The 17,064-nt window shown below is 49.2% G+C and overlaps 1 long non-coding RNA gene across 1 annotated transcript, besides 4 other annotated features; it reads left to right on the top strand.

Moving 5' to 3' along the window:
* Positions 1,653-2,175: an enhancer, noted in NCBI's record as "H3K27ac-H3K4me1 hESC enhancer chr10:5595988-5596510 (GRCh37/hg19 assembly coordinates)". NCBI's record gives its function as "activates a minimal SCP1, AML or CMV promoter by ChIP-STARR-seq in primed H9 embryonic stem cells {active_cell/tissue: H9 hESC(primed)}" and the evidence as "EXISTENCE:reporter gene assay evidence [ECO:0000049][PMID:30033119]".
* Positions 2,176-2,699: an enhancer, noted in NCBI's record as "H3K27ac-H3K4me1 hESC enhancer chr10:5595464-5595987 (GRCh37/hg19 assembly coordinates)". NCBI's record gives its function as "activates a minimal SCP1, AML or CMV promoter by ChIP-STARR-seq in primed H9 embryonic stem cells {active_cell/tissue: H9 hESC(primed)}" and the evidence as "EXISTENCE:reporter gene assay evidence [ECO:0000049][PMID:30033119]".
* Positions 4,123-6,582, top strand: LOC105376380 (uncharacterized). The gene is made up of 4 exons (XR_930611.3): positions 4,123-4,170; positions 5,058-5,199; positions 5,390-5,556; positions 5,819-6,582. It is a non-coding gene; the product is annotated as an uncharacterized LOC105376380 (long non-coding RNA).
* Positions 9,329-9,828: an enhancer, noted in NCBI's record as "H3K4me1 hESC enhancer chr10:5588335-5588834 (GRCh37/hg19 assembly coordinates)". NCBI's record gives its function as "activates a minimal SCP1, AML or CMV promoter by ChIP-STARR-seq in primed H9 embryonic stem cells {active_cell/tissue: H9 hESC(primed)}" and the evidence as "EXISTENCE:reporter gene assay evidence [ECO:0000049][PMID:30033119]".
* Positions 16,565-17,064: an enhancer, noted in NCBI's record as "H3K4me1 hESC enhancer chr10:5581099-5581598 (GRCh37/hg19 assembly coordinates)". NCBI's record gives its function as "activates a minimal SCP1, AML or CMV promoter by ChIP-STARR-seq in primed H9 embryonic stem cells {active_cell/tissue: H9 hESC(primed)}" and the evidence as "EXISTENCE:reporter gene assay evidence [ECO:0000049][PMID:30033119]".

The raw sequence follows: 17,064 nt of genomic DNA, 5'->3' as shown, positions 1-17,064 counted from the left end.
AGGGAGATGTGTAGGTCTGAGGTCCCTGAGAAATCCCAGTGTCACAACATGGCTGAGCCCAGGGCATTTAGGAGGCTGTGGGCTAGAGGGCCAGAGTCTTCCAGCTGTGCTTCTCAGAGACCTGGGGGTCGGTGGGAGGTCTTCTCCCATCCCCTCTTCAACTGCAGCTTGGCTGCTTGGCTGTGCTTTATAGACTGGCTTAACTCATGAGAGTCCATCGGAAGGGCTCTTGGCTAAAAAAAAGTGTTGCCAGGTGCCGTGACTCACACCTGTAATCCCAGCACTTCGGGAGGCCAAGGTGGGAGGATTGCTTGAGCCCAGGAGTTTGAGACCAGCATGGGCAACATAGCGAGACCCTGTTGCTACAAAAAATCTAAAAATTAGCCTGGTGTGGTGGTGCAGGCCTGTAGTCCCGGCTACTCAGGAGGCTGAGAGGCAGGAGCATGACTTAAGCTCAGGAGTTCAAGGCTGTGGTGAGCCATGATCATGCCACTGTACTCCAGCCTGTTCAGCGTGCAATGGCACAATCATGGCTCACCACAGCCTGTGCCTGTGACAGAGACTCCAAATCTAAAACATAAAGAAAGGAAAAGAGTGTGAAGCTGCTGATGCAATCCCCTTGTCTCAAGTGATAGACAAGATGTCTGGGGTTCAAGATTGCCGATGTGTCCACGGGCATGGGGTGTTGGTGCAGCCCTGGACCTGGGGCAGGGGGCTGTGTGCAACCAGGCCTGGTCAGCATTGCTGTCGCTACTACTCTTGTGCAACAAGTGGGGACAACACAGCGCAGCACGGAGCGTTTTCTGAGAAAGGCCGGGGGGTCCGGAGTGTGAAAGGACACCTCAGGGCTGGGGCATGGCAGGGAAGGCTCTGGGTGCTGAGTGCTTGCAGTCCAGGGGGCTTCGGAGCTGCTGAGAGAGGACGAGCCTTGGGTGCTTGACAGTTCTGCGGACAGTTCAGAGGCTGCAAACGCTTCCTGACTCCCCAGGACTGGTATTCTAAACTTGGAACTCGCAGTGCGCTCTTGGCGGGCTTCAGAAAGTTCACGAACACCCTGAACTTGTACCAAAACATTATGTGCATGGGCGTTTCTCTGGAACCGCGGTCCAGGGCGAGGGAAGTTTGTGATAATTGCATTTTTGAAGGAGCAAAGGACCCCTGCTGGGGTACGTCACATGGGGACCCAGGGCCCATCCTGTCTGGCCCTTTTCTCTCCACTTCAGCAGGAAAACACACACACACACACACACACACACACGAGTCTTCAAACTTGGAATAGTGATTGCACTGCTAGAATGCTTATTTGTGTGTGCAGGTGTAGCTTTAGAGATGGAGGCAGGGAGAAGGACTATGCATTCTGAGAGAGGGAGGGATTGAGAGAGAGAGAGAGAGTGTGTGTGTGTGTGTGTGTGTGTGTGTGTGTGTGTGTATGTCAGCAGGAATCTGAAAGTACAGCTTGGTGACTGTAAGGGCTGGAGGTGTCGGTGTTTTCTTGCCTGTTCCTTCTCTCTGAACAGAGCTCTCTGTTTGGAAGACCTGTCTTAGCTGTTCCTTCAAAAGTTCTGTGTGTTCTCCTCTGATCTGAGCTGACTTTCGGGGCATGGCTCCAATGGTTTGCCAGCAACTTAGGCCAACGGCAACAGCGGAAACCGAGACAGCTCTGCAAAAATATTTGTTTAATTAGCAGAAACGATCTGTGATCAGAATCCATGTTTAACGACCTGGCTTACAGCCAAGCTCAACACATTTTCCTTCAGGACTGTTTTTGGTGTTGAACTGAGCAAATTCAGCTCTGACCTTCATCCTGGCTGGGGGAGGGGAGACGCCCCACCCTGCTCAGACCCTGGGCTTTTTATTGAAAGGCAGTGCCAGGCACACTCTGATGGGTCTTGGGGGAGACCAAGGGTGCCCTGCTCAATGTCAGCCCTGACTCTGTGCCACGTGCACTCAGCTCTGCCACGGAGGTGCATGGCTCTGTAGACGTGGACGGTGAGCTGGGGAGGAAGGTGGTCTTGGAGAGAAATGCCCCATGGGGAGCTGAGACCTGTGTGTCATGGGATCATCCTGGATTTGGCTTAAAATCCACGTGGCTGTGGAAATCCCAGGGTGCACCGAGGATCTGTGGGGGAGCAGGGGTAAGTCCAGGTGAACCTCGAGCTGTTCTCAGCCCTGAGGTTTGGGTCACTCCGAGAGCACTTGGGTCTCTGCCGAACGGCACAGATCATTCTCAGGCCCTTACAACCATCCGGGTCACTCTAGAATTCCTTTTAGGACTCCTGGGCTGGGCTGTGGCTATTCAGGACTCTGGGTAAGAGCCCTTGGAGTCACCTGGGAGGTAGAATCGCCATTTTCTAGCAGCCATCTTGAATGGCAGATTCCCTGCAGTTCAAGCTGGGGCTGCCCAAGGGGTTCTGGGGGGTCCTGGGTGCCTTCCAGTTGCCCCTCCAGGTGCACCCCCTCCTCCCCCAGGACACTGACCGGCGGGGGCCATCGTGGGGGACCTTGTGCTCTCTGGCTCTGGCTGGCTCAGCCAGTGGGAGCCTGTGGGGCTGGGAGGGAGGAGGGTGTGATGAGGCATCTCCTTCCCGCTGGGCTCCTCCCCACCTCTTTCCTCCTTTTCCAAGTCCCCTGACCATCCCTCCCCTATCTCTCCAGGTCTCTTAAATTACCACGGTGCCAGCTACATGGCCCGGGTGGGTGGTTCCCCACACTGCCTACCCCTTCATACCTCGCCCCATTACACCCTCCTGGAATCATTCTCACTGGAGGCTGCACCGTTTCCTGCTGCCCACGATGAACAAAGCAGGAAACTGTCTTTTCCAGACTTCCCCACGAAGTGAGGTTTTGACGACCTCATTCTCCAAGAGCAAACCCAGCCCCTGGAGTCCGTTCTTTCCCTGCGCGCGTGGACACCCCTGCAGCAGTGGCTCCTTTTGGTGGCCGCTCTTCAGACACGTGCTAGAGAGCAATCATTGATGACAACGTTTTCTTTCAAAAGGCCCAGAAAACAAAATTAAATCTTGGGACTCGAAGCTTCCTGGGCCTGTGCCACGAAGGCCCATGCTTAGCCGGTCTGGTGCCAGGCTCTGTGACGTGTGGAAACCAGGCCCACCGACCACACAGCAGTGGCTGAGGATGGCTCCCTCCTCGGCTACTCTCTGAAATGGTAGAGGCCACTCTCATGGCTGAGTGGTCTCCGCCGTTCTGCAGAGGTGTGGATAAGAACAGGAGTTCCTGCTTGTCTCCTAGGGGTCCGTATTGAACGTTGGCAATCAGTGGAAATCCTGTCTCAGGCCCTCTCGGGGCCCCACACTGATCATTGTATTTAAATCCTCCCAGTGTCCTGCAGACACCTACCTCCCAGACCAAAGAGGGACCTTGCTGGTGGCCAGGAAACAAGCTGAAGCACAGAGAGGAGAGAAAGAGACAGAGTTGGGTCCTCGGGTCACCTTAAAAGGCTGTGAGACTTTTTGCCAGGGCAGGGCCTGGCGGGTGGTGGAGATGCAGGATGAAGGACTTAAGGAGGGATCTTTTACTTTCAGTGTGAAAGTGACCTGTGTTTTTATGAGGGGGCTAGAGAAATACTCAGAATCTGAGAGCAGGCAGTTGGAGTGGGATCTCAGCAAACTTCCGTGTCTGCATGGTCCTGCAACCATCGCCCTGGACAGAGGTCTCAGCTGGGTAGAGATGGACGGTTGTCAGGGCACAGCCTGTCCTTAGGGGGTGCTAGGAATGGGGATTGGGGTGAAGAGGAGTTCAGGAAAGAGGGGTGAGGCATGGGGAACCTGCTGGCTTAGAGGATGCAAAGGGGCAGGTTTTATGGACGCTTTATGCAGGTCCCTTTCATAAAGATACTTGCCCAGCCTGAGCAGAAACCCACACCCTAGAGTTTGTTTCTTCCCTGTGGGCACCCCCCGCCCCCGCAGCAGCGGCTTCTTTCAGTGGCAGAGGCTGACTCTTTTTGCAGCTTCTCCAGCACTTGCAAATGCAACTTCCTTGCACCCACTTCAGACACTTTACAGCTGGAACCCCTTCCTTCAAGGTTAGGGGCCCAGGCCCACAGCCCCTACCTCCAAGTTTCCACGTTTGAAGAATCCCAACCTTTTCCCTTTGCCTCCTCAGCCTCAGGGGTGACACCTCAGAGCTCCTGTTTACCTCTTTAGCCACCAGGTTAGTAATTTTACACCCATGCAAGTGTGTACAGGAATCTTCCGGATCCAAGTGGCTGGTGTGGGCGTTGTCTTCTGTCTGAACCCTGGCCCTTGTCTGTGCAGATTCCTCCCCTCCTGTCCGGGAGAGAAGAGACAGTTTCGATGTCATGTGGAGACAGGAGGCTGTGGTCAACGAGGGGAGGCTGTGGTCAACGAGGGGAGGCTGTGGTGGGGGGTGGCGTTCTGAGTCACTTGGCTGGCTTGGGAATGTGAGCTGGGCCAGGTGCACCTTAGAGAGCCTGGGTGGTGCTGGGGACCTTCAGGCTCTGGAGTCCTGGGTGACCCTGACAGGTGCATGTACCCACATCTCCTTGGCCCCTGTCTCTGTTGCTAATGTCCCTGCACAGACCCCCCCCAGCCGTCATTTACAGATTCCCAGCAGTGAAGCACACGGGCTTAGGTTAAAATCACTGAGCCCCTTGCACAGCGGCCTTCTGGTCCCCTCTGCTGTAAGGCAGGACCACCTGTCAGCCCCTGTCTTCTGGGGACCCCACTAGGCCTAAGAGATGAGGCTGTGGGGTTCTGTCTTCTGGAGGCCCCACTAGGCCTAAGAGATGAGGCCGGCGGCGGAGGTCTGGCCTGGAAGAGAAATGTGGTGAGTCACCCCAGGCCTGACAGATTCACTCAGACCTGGTCCTTCTGCTCCTAGGCTGAGCCATCTCTCAGGGACCCTCCTGCCCTCCTTCACCTCTCACCTGGCCTGCCCCAACCAGTTCTCCAGGCAAGCCCAAACCAGTTCCACCTGGTTTGTGACTGTGTTTGGAAAGAGGGTCTTTGCCGAGGTAATTAAGTTAAAATGAGGTCATGTGAGTGGGCCCTGAGCCAGTCTGATGGGTGTCCTTACAGGAAGACATTAGGACTCCCAGAGGGTGACTCCAGGGGCAGGTGGCTTGGAGGACTGGCCGTGCAAGGAGGCAGCAAAGGGGCGGCCATCTGCAAGCTGAGGGCAGAGGCCTTGGAGGAAGCAGCCCTGCCAGTGCTGGTAACTGTGAGTGCATCTGTCTCTGTTGGTCAAGCCGGCAGCCTGGGGCATTTTGCTGAGGCCGCCCCAGCCGCCTAGCATAGTCGCCAATAAGTCCCCGAGGTTCTGGTGTGCTCTCTGGACTAGTTTCCTGGGGTGGCTGCAACAAATTGCCACAAACACAGTGGTTTAAACCACGCAAATGTCGCTCCCGCAGCCTGCAGGTCGGAAGTCCAAACCAAGGTGCTGGAAGGGCTGGTTCCTTCCGGACCCTTCAGGGGAGAATCTTTCTGCCTCTTTGGCTTCTTGAGGCCCCTTCCTGGCATTGCTTCTTTCTCCACTGACTCCTACCATCAGCGCTGAGTCCTGCCTGCCTCTTATAAGGTACTTCTTTCTCCACTGACTCTTACCATCAGCGCTGAGTCCTGCCTGCCTCTTATAAGGCGCTTCTGGGATGACTCCTGGTGCACCCAATAATCCAGGGTCATCTCTCCAGATCCAGGTTCATAACCCAATCACCCCCACAAAGGGAGGTCACGTGTTCCCAAGCTCCAGGGATCAGGAGGAGGGCATCTTTGGGGGTGATACTATGCAGCTGACCACAGCCTCTCTCCACCTGGGCTCCCACACCCACCCTATTCTGCAGATCTTCAGAGGCCACCTGGGATGTCAGAAGCTTCCAGGAACCAGGAGGTAGCTGCATCTCCTGTCCCTTCCCTGAGTCACCTTGCTGGACTCCACAGTGTGGTGCAGACAAGAAGCTGCAGGGGACAACATGGAAGGAAGCGGGGATGGAGGAGATGGAATGGGATGGGCTCTGGGCCCGGCCAAGCAGAGCAGGATAGGGCTGAGAGTCATCTGAGCACAGGTGGTTCAAATGGCAGAGAAGCTCCACGCTGGAGCGGGGAAGAGCTTGGGCTTTCCGGCCAGAAAGCGCAGGTTTTGGCCACGGCTCTTCTGCCACTCACTAGATGTGGGAGTTTGGAGGCGTTACCCGAGCTCTGAGCCTTACTTTCCTCATCTGAAAAATGGGAATAATGGTAGGGTTAAATTAAACCAAATTTGGTCTGAGGATGCCTCTGCACTTTGAGTCCAACTGCGACCTTAGCAGCAAATGAACTGCAGGCCTAGCTTAGGAGTGTACTTTTGTAAGAAATAGCCGAGTCTTAGCCAATCACAGCAGCTGAGCTTCTATAAATCGCAGGTGGCTGCTGAGTAGTCCATGTTCAAACACGGCAAACCAAGCTGTGACCAATGAGCTGTCTCTGCAGCTCACTTCCATTTTCTGTCTATAAACACTCCCTGCCCACACTGTGGAGTGGAGCTCAGCCCTTGGAACCTCTTCTGGTCTGAGGGCTGCCCACTTCATGAATCCTTTGCTTAATTAAACTCAATTCATTTCAAATGAAACTCAATTGATTGCTAGATTAATTTAAATTTAATTCGTCTAAAGTTTTCTTTTAACAGTTCCTACCTTGTTGAGTTGTCGTGGGAATCAAGTGGAAATTTCTTTTTCACATGGAAAGGGCTTAGCATAGCCTGGCACGTGCTGAGTGTTCAGTGCACACTGGTTATGATGATCACAGTTAGTGTCTCCATCTTTGGTCTGTTCAGCGCTACAGTGTTTGGGGGCCAGCTAGGCAGTGCTGCAGCTGCAGCTCTGTGTGTGTGTGTGTGTGTGTGTGTGTGTGTGTGTGTGTGTGTGTGGAGGGGGCTGTGAGATTGGCGGGCTCAGGAGAAGATGACTACTAGCTGTTGCCAAAGTTTCTTTTCTGCAAGGGAAAGCCACAAGTCACTGGCTCCAATGTGGACTTTTAAAAGGCCTTCCTTCCTTTCTCTCTTACTTCTGGGGAGCCCATGGATAGGAAATGGCACTAAACTGACTTCATCTCTGTACCCTGATGCCTCCATCGCCCTCAGAGTTTACGCCCTCGATGAATCACTTAGAGTGAACTGGGAGCTGTGTATGAGGTGACGTCACCCTGAGATAGAGCTCTGTGGTCACTGGGAGGTGGCTGTGTGCGTTATCTCCCTGTGGCATGCCAGGAGGCGTGTGTGTGTGCACGAGTGTGTGTGTGCATGCATGTGCATGTGTGTCTTTGTGTGTGTGCAAGTGTGTGTATGTGTGTGGATAAGGGAGAGGGAGGGAGGGAGCTGGGCTGTCTCCCCTTCCCCACAAGTGGACCCTGCAGCTCAGAGCCGGAGGTGTGAGCTGAGTTTGGCGTTTGTATGTTGCTTGAGTTGGAATTTGAACTCACAGGGGACAGGAAAGGATGCCTGTCCCCAGGACTGACTAACGACATCAGGCCTGGCTATTGAACTTCCTGCTCTGCAGATCCTGGGTTCTGGGAGGATGAGGAAAGGATGAGCGAAGGCTGGGGGATCTCTGGGGTGGGGGTGGACTCAGTGAGTGGAAAGAGTAAAGGTGTTGGGGGTGGACTCCCTGTCTGTGTGACCGCTGGCAAAGTCCTTGACCTCGGCCAGTCTGCGTTTCCTGATCCAGGCAGTGGGGACATGGTCCTTTCCCTCAGAGGGGTGGTGAGGATTCAATGAACTCCTTTAGGTAGAGCTTGCTCAGGAGCATCAGCTGTAACACCTGTCCTGGAAGGTTGCTAGGTGCCCTCACCCTTTGTTCTGTGCCCACCTCTCTCCACCCCCTCTTCAGCCCGGATCCAGACGAGGCCTGGGGAAAGTCTCCCAGAAAGCGCCCTGACCAGGGCGGTGCCAGCTGGGTTCCTGTTTGCCTAAACCCAAGCAGCAAGCTCTTCAAAGGAACCTAACAAACCGGACAGAGAGCTTTGTTTTTTTCCTCACAGCAAAGGAGACAGAAAAGTTTGCTGAGTAAGTCAGACACCATTAAACTCACAAAAAGGCTCTTTGTTCCGGCCTGAGAGGGGGTGAAAAAAATAAGCGAAGTGGTCGAAGGGCGTGTGTTTGCTTCCGTGTTCTTGGAGTGTTTGGGCAGGGCTCACCCAGCTCACTCTTCCTGCTCTCCCCCATCTCTGAGTCCTCTGCCCCTGGTGATCCCACCTGTTATATCAAAAAATTGCACCACGGCCCAGCCAGAAGGAACGGCTAAGGGCTGTTAGTCCAGCCAGAGTTTCACTTTTAAAATGATGCTACCTAGTACTTAAGTTAGACGCTCCCGCAGGGCTTTCCTGTGCTTTTTCTTGTTGGAAGTGATGTGACCGAGGCTCTTGCCAAAGGTCAGTTAGTTGCTGTCTGAGCTGGGCTTGGGACCAAGCCCCTCGTACCCAGCCTGTTGTCATTTACTGTCATCCCTAGTGCTAGCTGTGGAAAAGTCTGCTTGATTCTAACCCTTTTGTCTCTAGTACAGTGAGATCTATGCTAAGATTTGTTTGTCCTCATTAAATTATAAATTCTTCCAGGCAGGTCACTATGTGGCTGGTGCCCCCCTGCAGTTGTGCAGTGTGCAACCTGTCAGACTGAACATGGCAGCCCTGCTTCTGGGGTTAATACAATATTATTGATTCATTCTTCCAGCAGATGGAACAATGCCTGTGGGGGGCAATTATGCCTTTGCTTCTAAGACTCGTGCTTGTAATGCCCAAAATCCAGTGTCACTGAGCCCAGCTGTGCTGAGAGAAACCAGCAAGTGGGCCAAAAAGAAAAGGTCTCCTCCTCCCAGACACACTGGCTGCTGGAGAAAGCCTGTGTGTTCTTAGGTGGCTGGGCTAGGTGGGGGCAGGCTCATGGGCAGGGGAACCAGTCTCTTAGGTGGGCATTTCTGGGGGGCTCTCATGGGGTGGAACTAACCAGCCAGGCCCAGTTCTCTCCTTTGGCAGCCAGAGAGGGGAGAATGTCAGATGTTTGTGCCTTGACTCAGCAGGTGACGTTGTGAACATTTATGAGCTTTTCTTCCTTTGGGCTCATTTCTTTATCTGTTAAAAGCAGGCAGGGCAGTGCCCAGCCCGCACCTGCCCAGAAGGACAGACAAAACATAAAAGGGCGGGGTGATTGTGAAATATCACTGGGCATTGTTCATGTCAGAGCTCCTGGTGCAGTGCGATGCCCAGGACTTTGTGTGGGCAGGGCTGGTGCTGAAGTGCAGGAGAAGACTCAGCTCTGGCTGAGCAGGCGCTGACCCACACTGCTGCTCTGTAACTCACACCGTTAACAATGGAAAGCGTTGCCTTGTTGTCTGTTTTGTGCATCCATGTTTTCATTCCGATTTTTAGTCCACATCTCTGGAGGGCAGAAAATCTGTCTTATGCTTCTTTTTCCTTCAACTGCATCCTTGGGAGGGTGGTAGATAGAAGACAGACATTCTTTACACAGGTGAGGCCCGCAGGAAGAACCAGGGCCAGTCCTCATGGTCATCACACACCTGGAGAGGGAGGCTTCTGTGACTTTGTGTGTGGTGACAACGCTGTGCTGCTTGGTCTTCCGAATGGTTGGACAGCCTTTGGCATGTGCTCTAGGACGCCCAGAGCTGCAGGTTGGCCTTGACTCCTCTAGCCTTGCCAAGTCCCTCAGGTAGATCAGCCCACTGGTACCTTCAGCCGGCCGGCACCCTCCTGCCCAGGTGGGGCCATGCCTCTGTTGGCTGCACTGTCTTTCAGGAGGGTGTCCTTGGCTCTGGCATTCTGGGCTCCTAGAACAGAACTGCAATGGTTTTCCTCAGCCTGCGTTCCTGACTTCTGTCCAGCTTGTGGTCTGCCTTGTGGCTCCCTTCCCTGGGGACCGTCCCCTCTGTCCCCCACCAGGAGGGTCATGCCTGCCACACACTGCTCCTAACAACCCGCCCTGTGATGGCTCTGGCTGGTGACCCGCAGCTGCTGGCCAGGCTGGGCTGAACCCGGATGGCTGCGGATCAGCAGAGCACGCGCCCCACCGCGTTGGGCCTGCTCTCGGATATGCTGCTGGTGGACTGACTCATAACTAGCGCTTCCTCTCAACAAAAACAAACACCCAGGGAGAGACTCAAGGGCCCTCCTTGGCTAAACAATTCTTGAGATTGAGTTGGAAGGGAAAACCCATTACACAAAGGGCTTTGCAGGGGAAGAGGGGAGAAGGCGAGAAGCCAGAACAAACACAAGAAGGCCCAAGCCACCCAGGGACTGGGAGAGGGACTCCGGCTCAGGTGGGCGCGGCCATATCCACCTTTTTGGGACTGAGACACTGAGCACATTTGCTCACTGCTTTCCCTCCGACAGCTGTTAAAGCTGGTGCTTTGAACCCAGCCCTGGGCAGGGTCCTTGCTGGCTCCGGGAACCTCCATTCTTGCTGGGCTGACCCTTTGCACAGCGGGCTAGGGCAGCCCTGGGTGTGGGGCTCCAGCTCACAGACAGTGTGATCATGAAATGAGGAAAGTGTGGGCTTTGGAGTCTGTGAGACCTGGCTGCAAAGGCTGCTCTGCTGGCCCTAGCTTTATGGGCTCAGGCAAGTGACTTAACCTCGCAGAGTCTCAGTTTCTTTATCTGAGAAATGGGTGGTGATGCCTACTTGGGAGATTGCTGTGAGGATTAAAGATGACCTATGTACAGTGCTGGAACATAGGAGGCAGTTACTACCTAGCAGCTAATCTTACTTAATTAAATATCTTCCCCTCTCAAATAAACCTTCTGGGTCTAGCAAAGAAAGTTGAGTAAGATACAGGCCTTCTCCACTGGACACACACAGCTCCTTGGGGACCATCTGGTGGGATCTCATTCCCAGGCCCCAGGCCAGATGCTCATCAGCACCCAGTGAGGCCACAGCCAGCCCTGATTCCAGGTCACTGGCCCACCTCTGGTCATAGTGGCCTCTTCTGTCTTCTCATCATCCCACAGTTAGGCAGGACCTCCCATGAACCAATGGAAAAATGCCCAGTAGTACAGATGCCAGCATGCTGACCAGGGAACAGGCACAGGTCACCTTGGGCTCGGTGTGGAGCCATCAGCTGGCCAGGGGGACCTCACTGTCCTCCTGGTTGCAGAGGAAGGCACTGGGCTTGTGGGAAGAGTCTTAGAGAAAAACTTTGCAATGGGGCATGGCCACAGGACTGAGGGCCAAGCAAAGACTACTGATGAGAATTTCTGTGGGGGGAGAGTTTCATTTCAATGGAAGGAAGAACTTTTATCAGTAAGAACAAAAACTTCACTGTTGAAGAATAGATTCAAGGGCACCTTCACCTTCTTTGTCCCTCCTTGACTTGGCCACTGGTGGTAGTGTGTGTGCACATGTACGTGGGTGTGTGTGTGTTGTTCAGCTTAATAAATAACACATCAAAATCATGCAGTGCAGTCAAATTCATATGAGAAAAAAATTTGTTTGTTCTCAAGTTCTGTGAAAGTAGATATACCTGAACCAGCCAACCACTGACCTCCAACTACCAAGTTCTGCCAAAAGTTGTGACACTCAGAGGACAAACCAGTTAAGCAGTGTTTGTCAAAAAATATTCCCTGGACAAGACTTATTCCTGTCTGGGTGTGTCCACGTTACAAAAGCATGTCTACACCACATTGCTACATCGATCTTCAGAACGTCTGAGTGAAGTAGGCAGGAGGGTATTGTCTTCCTTTTGCAGAGGAGGAAATAACTTGCTCAAGGTTACATGGCCAGCAAGTAGCAGGCTTGGGAGAACCAGGTCTTCTGGCTGCTTCACAAAGCCTGATCTAGAAAAGGAGGGGGCTGCCTCGTGAGTCCCGTGGACCCAAACTGAGATCAGATGACAGAGGATCAGATCATGGAGACCTTCTGGAGTTCATAATTGTACCATGAAAGCATTGTCCTGCACGACAGTGAGAGCAGAAGTTGGCACAATTTTTAGATGTGTAATTTGGCAATATGAATCAGAAACCATAAAGGTGACTATGGGCTTTGACCAATTATTTTCATTTCTAGGACAGTGTCTTCAAGAAATAATCAGAAATGGGCACCAGGTTAAAAAGTTACACATAGGGTTACCGTATGACCCAGCAATTCCACTCTTGGTGTAAGCCCAAGAAAATGAAAACATGTGTCCACACAGAAAAATTGTATGTGTTTATAGCAGTACTATTTATACTAACTGAAAAGTGAAAAGACCCCAATATTCACCACTATTGAAAAAATAAAATATGATCTATCCATATAGTAGAATATTATTCTGCTGTAAAAAGGTATGAAGTAGTGATATTTGCTGCAACATGGATGACCCTTGAAAACACTGCGCTAAGTGAAAGAAGCCAGGCACAAAAGACCACATCCTATGACTTTGTTTATATAAATCCAGAATAGGCAAATTTGTAAAGCTAAAAGTAGAGTAGGGTTGCTTAAGTTTGGAGTAGGAAAGTTGGGAAGATGCAGATTCATTGCTAATGGGTATGATGTTTATTTTAGCAGAACAAAAATATTCTAAAATTAGATTGTGGTGAGGGTTGTACAACACTGAATTATTTTTAAAATGTTAAACTGTACACTTTAAATGAGTGAATTACATGGTATGTGACTTATATCTCAACAATTTTTTTTCTAAAAAAAAAGGGCACCAGGAAGTTCTTCTCATCAGTTTTCATAATAATAAAAAAATTTGAAACAATCCAAGCTCATAAGGAAAAGAAATAATCAAATAATTATAGTACACCCATAGTTGATGTATAAAGAAATCAAAAAATATAATACATAAAAATATTTTAGACAATGAGAAAATGCTCATGAAATATTAAAAATTATAAAATACAAATGTATGTTTAGTGTGATTTCCATTTTATTTTAATTTTTAAAAATTAAATGTTTTATCTTTTAAGAAAGAATTTTAAGAAAGAATGCAGAGATCCTGTGTATCTTTCACCAATTTCCCCAGATGGGAGCAGTTTGCAAAACTGTAGTACAAGACAGCAACCAGGACATTGACCTTAATATGGTCAAGCAACAAAACATTTTCACCACTGCAAGGATCACTTGTGTTGCCCTTTTATAGCCATGCCCCCTTTCTTCCTGTGCCATTCTCACCTTAATCCCAGGAAACAGCTAACCTATTCTTCATCTCTATGATTTTGTTATTTCAAGATTGTTATAAATGGAATCATATAGTGTGAAACCTTTTGGGACTGGCTTTTTTCACTCTACATAATTCACTAAGACCCATCTAGGTTGTTGCACTTATCCTTAGTTCGTATTTGTTTAAAAACCTGTACACAGCGTGTGTAGTAGTTTTATTTGTAATAGCCCAAACCTGGAAGCAATCCAGAATTCTCCAGGGAAACCATCTGGGCCTGGAGATTTCCTTTTTTAGGAGGTTAAAAATTACCAATTAAATTTCTTTAATAGTTACAGGGCTATTCAAATCATCTACTTTATATTTGATGAGTTGTTATAGTTTACATTTTTCAAGGAATTGGTCTATTTCATCTAAGTTGTCAAAATTTACGTGGATAAAGTTTTTGTGGCATTCCATGAGTATCCTTTTGATATCTGTAGGGTCTATGGTAATATCCTTGTTTTATTTCTGATATTTGTAATTTATGTCTTTCCTCTTTTTTCCTTTGTCAGTCTTACTAGAAGTTTACCAATTTTATTGATCTTATAAAAAAACTAGTTCTTGATTGATTTTCTCTATTTTTTTCTGTTTTCAATTTCATGGAGTTTGGTTTTTATTTCTTTATTTCTGCTTTCTTTGGATTTACTTTTTTTTTAGGTTCTTGAGGTGGAAGCTTAGATTATTTATTTGAATTTTTCCTTTTTCTAATATATTCATTTAGTGCTATGAATTTTCCCCTCAGCACTGCTTTAGCTGAGTGCCACAAATTTTGATATGTTGAATTTTCATTTTCATTCAGTTCAATGTATTAAAAAATTATCTGGAGACTTCCTCTTTGACCTCTGGGTTATTTAGAAGTGTGCTATTTAGTTTTCAAGTGTTATGAGATTTTCCTATCATTTCTCTGTTATTGATTTCTAGTTTGATTCCATGTGATTGGAGAACACACGCTATAAGATGTGAATTCTTTTGAATATGTTGAGGTTTGTTTTGTGGCCCTGAATATAGTCTATCTTAGTGTATATATTTTGAAGTATGGGAAAATGTTCATGATATATTATATAAAAATATAAATTATAAAATGTGTGTATAGTGTGATTCCAATTTTATGTTAACTGCCCTTTATTTTCCTCCTTATCCTCTTCTGAATTATCTAAAGTTAAGAATTCTACCTTTTATGATCAGAAAGTTTTTTTTTTTAAATGGAAAGAGCAGTGGGTAGTGTGTCATAAGATACAAGTTTAAAAACTGGGCTCTCATTTTCTAGCAATGTGACCCAGGCACTGCATCTCATTTTATCTAATTGAGCCTCATTTCTAAAATCTATAAAATGGAAATAATAAAATGCCCACTTTATAGAGTTATTGTATTAAACAATCCAAAGCCAGCATTTATTAAATGCCCAAGCAGTGTGCACACGGTATGGTGGTGTTTCTATTACAGTGAGGAAGCTGGACTCTTTTATCTCTTGGGTCCCTTGCGACTATTTGCTTTTAAGCCTCTGTGATTCTTTCACTGAGGAGCAGACAGAAGTCTGAAACATATTGTGTCTGTGGACAGAACTCTCCATAAATTGCTGTTCTCCAGATATTTCTGGAAGCCTGGGAGTATAATTGGGATGTAACAAATTTGGACTTTTTAGCAATGTTCCAATTTCAAATGTTCTGTCCTCTTGCTCCCCTAGTATAACAGTAATGTTTTCACCATGCAATTTCATTTCTGGTTAGAAAAATGTGGATATTAGGTTAAAAGATTCACCTGAAAGGAGAAGAAAAATTCTTGGTTGTCTGCCATACCCTTTACTAGAAACCTTTCCCCTCTTCTTAGGCCTGTGATTGTTCTCCAAAGCAGGTGATTGTAATCAAGCTCCCAAGAACCAGGTTATCAGTCAGTTTTACAGCCCTAATTTCTCAATGGCAGGAAAGGAGTGGGGCCTGTAAGATGAGTCAAGGAGGGACAGGGTTTCCTTGGTATTACTTAATTTTAAAGTCCTTTTCCCTGCCCATGCATGACTCCCAATCCACCGCTGGGCTGGCCTCTAGAAGAACCGCTGTAGGAGCTCTCACCCTGCCAGGGCCACCTCCGGTCTTCTCTCTGTGTCTTCCACCCTTCCTTGGCCAGCAGACAGTCTTCTGGTTTTAGAAGTGTCTTTTCTTCCTACTTGTGTGGTATTCCCTTCCAAATCCACCCTATCCATGTGGATGGAGTCTTCTTGACCAAGAGAGCCAGGGTCCAAGCTTTTCTAAGGATATTCCAGAGGATACTAGGGTCTATTCAGCCAATGAACCCTTAGCCCTGCTTCCAGACTCGGTGTACTACCATCCCTCTCAAAGCTCCCTGTTCATCCAATGTGTAGTATCTACTGATAATTCAGCATCCCGTGCCAACCAGTCATGCCCCACTCTGTGATCTTAGGGTGGCGGATGCCTATTTATACATTGCCCTTATTTTATTTTACACCCTTTATCACCTGGGTCTGTGAGTTTCTTGGGTTCAAGGACTTTTCTCATTTGTTTTTGTTTATTTTGATCAAGGTAAATATATAGCATAAAATTTACCATTTTAGGTACACAATTTGGTGGCATTAAGTGTACCATAGTCTCAATGCCTTAGTCTCAACACTAAGTCACATGAAATCAAACTAGAACTGTCACCACCATCCATTTCCAGAATTTCATCATCCCAAACGGTAACTGTCTACCCGTCAAACAACAACCCCAGCTGGGCGCAGTGGCTCATGCCTGAGGTCCTAGCATTTTAGGAGGCCGAGGTGGGCAGATCACTTGAGTCCAGGAGTTCCAGACCCGCCTGAGCAACATGGTGAAACCCTGGCTCTACAAAAAATACAAAAATTAGCCAGGAGTGGTGGTATACGCCTGTAGTCCCAGCTACTGGTGACGGGGGAGGCCTGGGAGCTGAGGTGGGAGGATGGCTTGAGCCTGGGGAGGCGGAATCTGCAGTGAGCCGAGATTGCACCATTGCACTCCAGCCTGGGTGACAGAGTGAGATACTTTCTGAAAAACAAAAAAACAAACCAAAACAAAACAAAACACCCCAACAAACCCATTTATTTTTGCATCTTCTGTCTTCTATGTGAGGACCTTTGCCTAGCACACATCCAGGCAGACATATTGTGACATTGTCCACAGACATGAGACATACTGTGAAGGTGCCCTTGAGTTGTGCAAGACAGTGGTCAAGCTCCCATCCCACTTCTTAACACATGGCGGGACCTTAAATGTTCTTAAAATTGAACCAACCGGAAAGCAGGATATTATGGGCACACTTTTAATCCTTGGCTCTTGGGGTAAACTGCCCTCAAGAAAGACCTTGACTTTCACCCTGGGGAGAAGATCTCTCTTTCATGGCCTTCCAAATTCTGCGATCTGTGGCATTAATTCTGCTCAAATTGATTTCATTTGTCTAATATTTTCAGCCTAATGAGACAGTGGGCTGTGCTACGTGACCGAACCAGCAACTAAAGCAACAGGGCCTTCCCCTTGGGGTGTCCATTCCCCAGGGTCGGGCGATAGGAACTTCCTTCCAAGCGACTGAACCAGCAGCTACAGCAACAGGGCCTTCCCCTCGGGGTGTCTGTACCCTACGGTCAGGTGATAAGAACTTCCTTCCATGCGGCTCTCGTCTTTGAAATCATGACTTTAATGGTGGTGATAAGACCACAGAAACTTTTGCTACTTGAATCCTCTCAAGGGCAGCTTAGAAAAAGTCAATTTTGCTAGAGACATGGGGAGACACAGAACTCCTCCATATGAAATACATCATCCCTGTTTTAGGACAAAAGAGCGGGTCTGTGGGTATGAAGTGGACGGCACCCTCCTCCCTTCAAGCGCAGCCCAGCCCTCCTCTCCCCTCCTCTCCTGCAAGGTGTCGGTGATTCCTCCGGCTTGCCCTGGGCTCTCCCTTCTCAG

This window comes from Homo sapiens, chromosome 10, assembly GCF_000001405.40.
Source record: "Homo sapiens chromosome 10, GRCh38.p14 Primary Assembly".
NCBI classification, from domain to species: Eukaryota; Metazoa; Chordata; class Mammalia; order Primates; family Hominidae; genus Homo; species Homo sapiens.
This window is presented reverse-complemented; position numbering and strand designations above follow the sequence as displayed.